The sequence below is a fragment of the Homo sapiens genome, chromosome 3 (assembly GCF_000001405.40).
Source record: "Homo sapiens chromosome 3, GRCh38.p14 Primary Assembly".
NCBI lineage: Eukaryota > Metazoa > Chordata > Mammalia > Primates > Hominidae > Homo > Homo sapiens.
The window spans coordinates 43,071,203-43,079,012 of record NC_000003.12 but is presented as its reverse complement, the minus strand read 5'-3'; positions in this window follow the sequence as shown (position 1 = coordinate 43,079,012).

Sequence of the window (7,810 nt, the reverse complement as noted above, 5' to 3'; positions counted from 1 at the left end):
GGGAGGAAGAGCTGTATCCACCATGGGTTTTTTTTTGGGCTCAACTAGACATTAAGACTCGCAAGACCTGGACAGATCATACCTGGCATCAGAGTTTCTTAGAAGGATGGAGAGAGATGCTCAGCATGCCAGCAGGGCCATGTCAGCAGTTCCCTTCCACAGGAGCAGTCCTTACATCAGTACTCCTGAGGGCCACCTTGATTCAGAAGCCCATGCCCCATAGGAGTCAATGTGTTTTCAACAACCCACAATCAGAGTTCCCAGGGTCCCTCAAGGGACATGCCCAGTTATGAGTTTCTGCACTTAGGGAAGCCTAAGGCCATGGTTTCTTACCAGATGGTATAGCTTATTCTTTGTCCTTCCAGCCCAGGTGTAGCTTATCAATCAGAGGTCAAAAACTCCCATGGGCAGTTTGGCCTAATACTGTACCTGACATTCAGCTAACTGGCTTGTCTGGCTTCCATGGGAGCAGAGCTAGAAAGTTAGCCCAAGATAAAATCTGTCCTGAAGAAAGAGGAGTTTTGGCCTTTTATTGTTGGGGAGACCTGCTGCAGGTCTGACTCCTGTAAGGGGGAGAGGGAGAGAAGCTGGGGAGAGGAGGTAGAGCCTCAGGCTGTAGCTCAGTGCTGAGAACCTCTCAGCAGGCTGATCGGGGAGTTTTGAGCCAAAGGTGTCCATTAGATAAGTATTCCCTCCCACCCGCCGATGCTAGTCGTCACCTGGGAGCCGCAGTGGGAAGTGTGGCCTCAGCATCAGTACCTTGGTGGATTCAGCATGGCAGCTGAGCCATCCCTTGTTCTCTGCTGCAGGAGATCTGAATGGTGCATTTTCATGGTCGCCATGGATCTTTATGACATTCCTTTCATCCAGAATATCTTTCTCCCTAACTGTAGCTTCCATCTGCTGCCACCATAAACTGCCATGAGAATCCACACATCAAGACTCAGCTCAAAGCCAGAGATCTCATACACTGCTGGGGCTGGGGGAGTGAAATGGTACAACCACTTGGAAAACCATTTGGCAGTTTTTACTAAAGCTGAGCACTTAGTTGTCCTATCTCTCAGCAATTCCACTTCTTGAGATATATACCCAAGAGAAATGAGTGCTTATGTCAGCAAAAAGACATGTCTTAAAATGTCCATGGTTCTACTCTTAATGGCCAAACACCATAAACAATTCAAGTGTCCATCAACAGGTATATTCATACAATGGACACAACAATTTTAAAAAGAATGAAGTGAATCTCAGACAACATTGAGTAAAAGAAGGCAGACCCAAAATACTTACTGTATGGTTCCATTTGTATGAAGTCCTAGAACAGGAATACAAACTTATGGCGATGGAAGTCAGAATGGTGGTTACCGGGAAAGGAGGTAAAGACTGGGATGGACACAAGGGGGTTGTGGGTTGGCAACATTGTGGTCTTGGATGGTGGTTGCACCGTGGACATTGAGGAAAGCCATCATCCTGCTTACACGGTACATTAGTGCACTCACTCACCTCTGTGCTTTCTGTATGGCACACCTTGATTTAAAAGGAAGACCACTTAGCCCAAGGGCCAGCTCTCCTGAAAACCCAGTTTGTCACACCCAAAAAGCCTTAACTCTGCTGGCCCCGCCACTGTCTCCCAGGAAGCACTTACCTCTCCGCAAGACCTTGCTCACAGGCTGGGAGCTCAGTGAGGGTTTGTGTCATGTGGGTCACAGCCAAGCGAAAGCTCAATGAATGGTTCCTTGCCTCAATGAATATGTGTATCTCTGCCTTTGTCCAAACTTTTTTACAAATTGGGAATCCGCTTTATGTGAAATTTTGCCCCCCTCTTTTTTTTCCTCTTTAACATTAAGACATGAACACTCTGCCATGTCACTGATGACTATTCTTTGGAAACAAGACTTTGGTTAGCTAGAGAACGTTGTGTACAATCACTAGGAAATTAGCCTCCTTCCCCCAGGCTCCATGGAGGAGCTGGATCCATGCCCAGCAGCCCAGGCCACCCCTTGATAGCACTGAATAGTAGCAGCATTTTTTCTTTTGCTGCTGCTGCTTTTTTTAAAAAAAACCATTTATTGGTGTTTATGGTGAAATACTCAGATCGTCAGTGTAGAGTTACGTGAGTTTTGACAAATACATACATCCATGTAACACACACATCCCTACACGATAGAGACCATCTCCATCATCCTCATATTCATAGGGGGATGAATGTATAAATAATCTCTTATGACTCCTATATATACATACATACACAAACACACACAGGAGTGATAAGAACTTACGTAACATTAGGGGCATTTACATTTCTCTATCCTGTTTATTATAAATCTGCATCTTAACCATCAAAGAGTCAGGTGAAGGTAAGAGCACAAGAGAGAGCTGAGGTCTGGGATATGTAGGCAGCTACTAGGCCAAAGCCTGTCACAAGTAACCCAGCAGCTCCCTGGGCCAGAGCTCCTCAGCCCTTGGCCTCTGCTCCTCTTCCCCCTGACCTCCACCATGAGTCAGCTCTGAAAGCATCCTTCTGGCTGTAGGTGGGGTGGCAGCAGGGGTGTGCCACGTCTGGGCAGGGGGCCCATGTGGGAACTTGAACACATAAGGAATGCCTCAGGTAGGTGTTCCTCAGCCCCTGACCAGCTTCCAGCTGTTCCCAATCAGCCACAGCCCGATATAATCAGGCTGTCCAGGTGCACCAACCTCTGCACCAGGCCCTGCCTCACAGTCCATGTGGCCCACAACTGATGGAAGACCTAGTTAAGCCAGGGTTTCCACCCTTCAGGATAGGAGGGCAGTTTCAGGCCTCCAAGTAGTCCTCTTCCAGATGCAGGGAAGGAAAGAAGGGAGGCAGCCTCCTGCTGCCACCATTGGTCTCTGCAGAAGTGCAGCCCTGCACCCTCCCAGTCCCCACCACTGGTGATCATGATGGCCTGGCCAGGCCCCTGCAGTCAGCACCAGAGGCAGCGAACCAAGGCTGCATCGACCTGTGGACTGGCACTGTGGGCCTCCCTTCAGGAGGGTACAGGTTATGGGGCCCAGGTCCCACCACAGCAGCAGCATAAAGCCAGCCTCGCAGTCAGCTCTGGCCACACTGAGCCTGTGGGAAAGCAGGTGGGCAGAGTAGTTACCTTAAAGGGATGTGGTCTGAAGCCTCCTGTGTCATTTCTGTTTCCATTATGTTTATGAATTTTCGAAAGCCAAATAAATTCTAATTAACATTTTAAAAAACACACCCCTTCCAAACAGCAGTATAGTCAGAAAGCTGTGTGTCCTTTAACCAAAGGAGTTTCTCTTCTCAAAGAAAAAAATTTCATGAAGTCACACACAACTAATTTAGAATTTGAGATAATTCTATCCTGGATCCTGGGAATAAGAAGTACAAGAAGATGTAATCTTTGCCTTCTGGGAGCTTATATCTAGTGGAAATAATCAAATGATGTGTTTTTGAGTCTTGTACTTTCAGACTTTTGACTGGTTTGGGTAGGTCAGCCTTTTCCTAGGGTTGCTAAATTTAGCAAACAAAAGTAGGGGACACCCAGTTCAATTTGAATTTCTGATAAACAATATTTCACAATGCTACCTTTTCCAACTAATGGAAAATGAGGGTGGGGGTGGATTACTGTATAACCGTGAGGTTAATATCCCCAAATCATTCCCATTTTCCAAGTTCAAATATAGAGACACTGGTGGAGAAGGAAGACTCAACCATGCCTCCACTAAAATAAGAAACAGCGACAATACCAAATGCCAGCAAACATGCAGAACAACTGGGTTTACATTCATTGCTGGTAAGAATGTAAAATGTACTCTGTGAAATACATGAGCAGTTTCTTGAGAAATTAAACATATACTTACCCTGTGACTCAGAAATTGGACTCCTGGGCATTTACCCCAGAAAAATGAAAATGATGTTCACACAAAAGCCTGTACACAAATGTTCCAAATGTTCCAAGCAGATTTATTTGCAATAGCCAAGAACTGAAAATGACCCAGATGTCCTTCAATGGGCAAATCGTTAAACAAAACGTGGTACATCCATACCACGGAATACTACTCAGCAACAAAAGGGAGTGGGTTACTGATACATCAACAACTTGGATGGGTCTCAAGGACATTGTGCTGAGTGGAAGAAAAGCCAACCTCAAAAGTTTACATCCTGGGTGGTTCCATTTATGTAACATTTCTCTTGAAATGACAAAATTATAGAAATGGAGAACAGATTTGTGGTTGTCAGGGTTTAGGAATGGCAGAGAGCGAAAGGGGTAGGTTGATTATATAGGAGTGCAGGAGATCTTTGTGGTGATGAAACAGTTCTTTATCTTGATTGCCGTGGTGTTTGATGAGTGTACACGTGATAAGAGGACTGTGGAATCACACATATTGTACCAATGTCAAGTTCTTAGTTTTGATATCACACTACAATTAAGGAAGATGTAACTACGGGAGAAACTGGGTGAAGGGTACACAGGACCTCCCTGTACTATTTTTGCAACTTCTGTGAATTTGTAATTTTTTCCAAAACAGAAAGTGTTTAAGAAATCCTTGGAAGGGCTGGGGGAGAGTGTTCCAGGGTGGGCCTCAAGGAACAATTCTGCAAACACAACCCCAGAGGCTGCTGCTGGGGCTGTGAGTTCAAGAACCACAAATGGAGCTGGGATTTAGGGATCAGGATGCTGTCACCAGTGCCACAACCACCTCTCAACCATCACAAAGGTGGTGACTGGGCACTGGAATCACAGTCCAGCCCCACTCTGCCAACCTCCCACCCTTGGGACCCAGAAAGCTGTCAAGTGGATACTGAAGCCTGCTCTAGAACACCTCTCATCTCCACCACTTTGCCTGTGAACTGAAAATAGCTAAAAGGTACAGGAGGACGTCTACACAGGAGGACGGCCCTCCCAGGAGAGCATCTGAATGGTAGAATCTAATTTGCATCCAGAGCCCAGCTGCAAGGGAGCCTGGGTAATGGAGTGTGCAGCTTTTCAGTCTCAGCAGCGCAGGAGGCTGCAAGGGAGCCTGGGTAATGGAGTGTGCAGCTTTTCAGTCTCAGCAGCGCAGGAGGCTCCGTAGAAGGAGGGTGGGTGGAGGAGGTTAGGCAGCCCAATCCCTGACATTCACCATGGTCACCCACCAGAACTAGATGTGCCTTCATGTGGGCTGCAGAACTTCCATGTGGGCAGGGCAGAGAAAGGATGCATCCATTCATTCCTGATGTGAAAATCATCCAAGATGCCTGGGATCCTACCCCACTGTTGTGTGTGGGTGCATGTTTTAAATGAAGCAGCAGTCATGAGAACCAGACAATCAGATATCCAAGAAGCAGGGCACCCTTACCATTCCCTTTAGGCATGGCTTCCCGGGTCATGCTCCTCGTACCCAAGGTGATGCCCAGTGCACCACTCGCCTGACACATGGACACATGGAGGGCAAAGCCCTGTTTCCTGTTGTTATGCAGAGTCTGTGGTATACAATGATCCCATAGCAAATGTTGCTGGGAAGACACGCACAGGAGACTGTAAAAATCCATATCCTCATATCCATCAGCTAAGTGACTTTACCTATACCTACACCTTGAGGGGCCCTGGACCTCCATTCCCTGGTGCACTAGGGACCTTCTAGAGCTCACCCACCTTAGCCTGCTCTGGGTCAGGGGACATGCCTGTGGTGGACCTATCACTCCACCTTCTACTCTCTCCCTGCACCTGCCTCAAAAGGCCAGATGTTCCCTAGGAATCCTTACGAGGAGCTAGGTCCTACAGTGGAATTTCGGACACTAGCAGCAGGTCAGTGGGGCCAAGTTAGACTTTCCTAGCATTTCTCAGATCACACCTCACATATGTAAGTAAGCCTGCTTCTTTCTTGAAGGCCAAGCCCCTCCCATCGCCAGCACCCCTCTAACCAACACCACCTCTGGGATTCCCTGGGACTCACTCCACCATCTCCCCAAGAGGTGCTTCCTCCTCTGCCCCACAGCTTCCCAGGGTGGGCAGTCCTGCAGTCCAGCACTCTCCCCTACCCAGCCTCTTCCAAGTCCACTGGACCCATGACCCCTACTGATATTTTCCTGCACAAACTGAGTGCTACCTCTGCTGCTGTGTGAGATGTCTCAAACCCCGAGTTTCCACCTAGAGACACTTTCCTCTCTGGTTACATTGCTTTGGAGACTCAGTGATTCTTCCCTGGTTGCTTGGACAAAACCACCCAATGTGCCCTGCCCAGAGGTCCCAAAGGCTGAGCTCCCAGCCACCCCAAAAGTCTTCAGCCCCTATACCCAAATGCCATATCTCCAGACCCCTGAAATGAGCACCCCTGAGCAATGCTAACCAGAACCCAAGATAGGTCAGGAGAGGCCTCAGGCAGCACCTTTGCTGGTCCAGCGTTGGGAGGAAGAGGCAACGGAGGAGGAAGAACTCCACAGTTCCTTGGAGAGATCATAAGAAATTTCCTTGGGCCTCCTCCCCTTTGAAGAGGCATTGGGGCAGGGTAGATGCATGTGTGAGGAGAGGAAAGACCAATGTCCATAGCAAGGCATCCTTCAGAGCCAAAACCTCCTGCCTGGGCAAAAGGAAAATGGGTAGTCCAGGAGAGAGATGGAGGAAGTCTACCTGAACTGGCCAGCGTGCCCCAGAGGGCCAGGCGGTGGCTGTTTACTCACCCACAAGCCCAGGCCAAGGGGAAATATCTCCAGATATTCACAGAGGTCTCTCCTGTATTTCTGTGTAGGCAGAGATCTTCCTTTGACCCCCTTTTGCCAACAGTGCTTTGTCTACTCTCCCAGGCTTTCTGGATCCTCAGTTACAGGAGATGTGCTTACCAAACACAACACCAAGACACACGCTCTGACAGCCAGAGAGAATATGGAAGACTGGTCCTGTCTCCAAACATCTGGAATGTGGGGCCACCATAGCATGGCCTCTTACTCCTTCCAAATTCTACATTCTCTGTGGGAAATTTGCTTGATAATAATTGTTGAACAAGTGAATGAGTGAATGAATATAAGAAGGAAGGAAGGATGCTATAGTGGTTGGGACCAAGGGCTCTGGAGTCAAACAGACCTGGGTTCAAATCCCAGCTCCACTAGTTACCTGCTCTGTGACCTTGGGCAAGAGACCCAACCTCTCTGAACATTGGTTTCCTTATCTGTCAAATGGGATCAATAATGCCTACCTTGTGGAGTTGTGAGAGTTTGAGATGAGGAAGTATCTAAAGCTCTTGGCATAGCGTGAGACCACTGTAAATGTTTAGAACATGCCAGGTGGTGCTTATGGCTGTCTTAGAGTGAGCCTCCTCCCTCAGACAAGCTCAATGCTGCCCATTCACAAGGCAATGCAAGGGTGACATGTTCCAGTCAGGGACGGAGGGACAGGCTTCTCACAAGCAGAGTGGTTTATCATTCCTGTCACACCCTTTGAAACATGATGTGGCCTGGGCATCCCTTCATCCCACACCAACTGCTTCCGCCGCCAGCCCCTTTGGGATAAGCTACAGCTCCTGGTAGCTGCCTCCCTGGAGTCACCCAGGCTCTCCGGTTGTGAAACAATGACCATATTTCTCTCCACCAATAGGGGGCAGCATTTTCTGCCTGGGATTCCTGCGAGGAACAGGTGTGGCTTCCCCACCCAGCTCTCTTCCCTAAGTGGACCTGAAATCTGGAGACCCCCTCTGGCATTCCTCAGGGGGACCATCCTTTCCAGCGGCTCTCCAAAGCAAAGAGTCCCGAATTGTGGCATTTACCGATTTCCATGGTATAAATACTTTTACCGTGGCAGATTCCAGGCCACCAGTGTGACATCACTGAATGCAGAGTTGGAAAGAAATG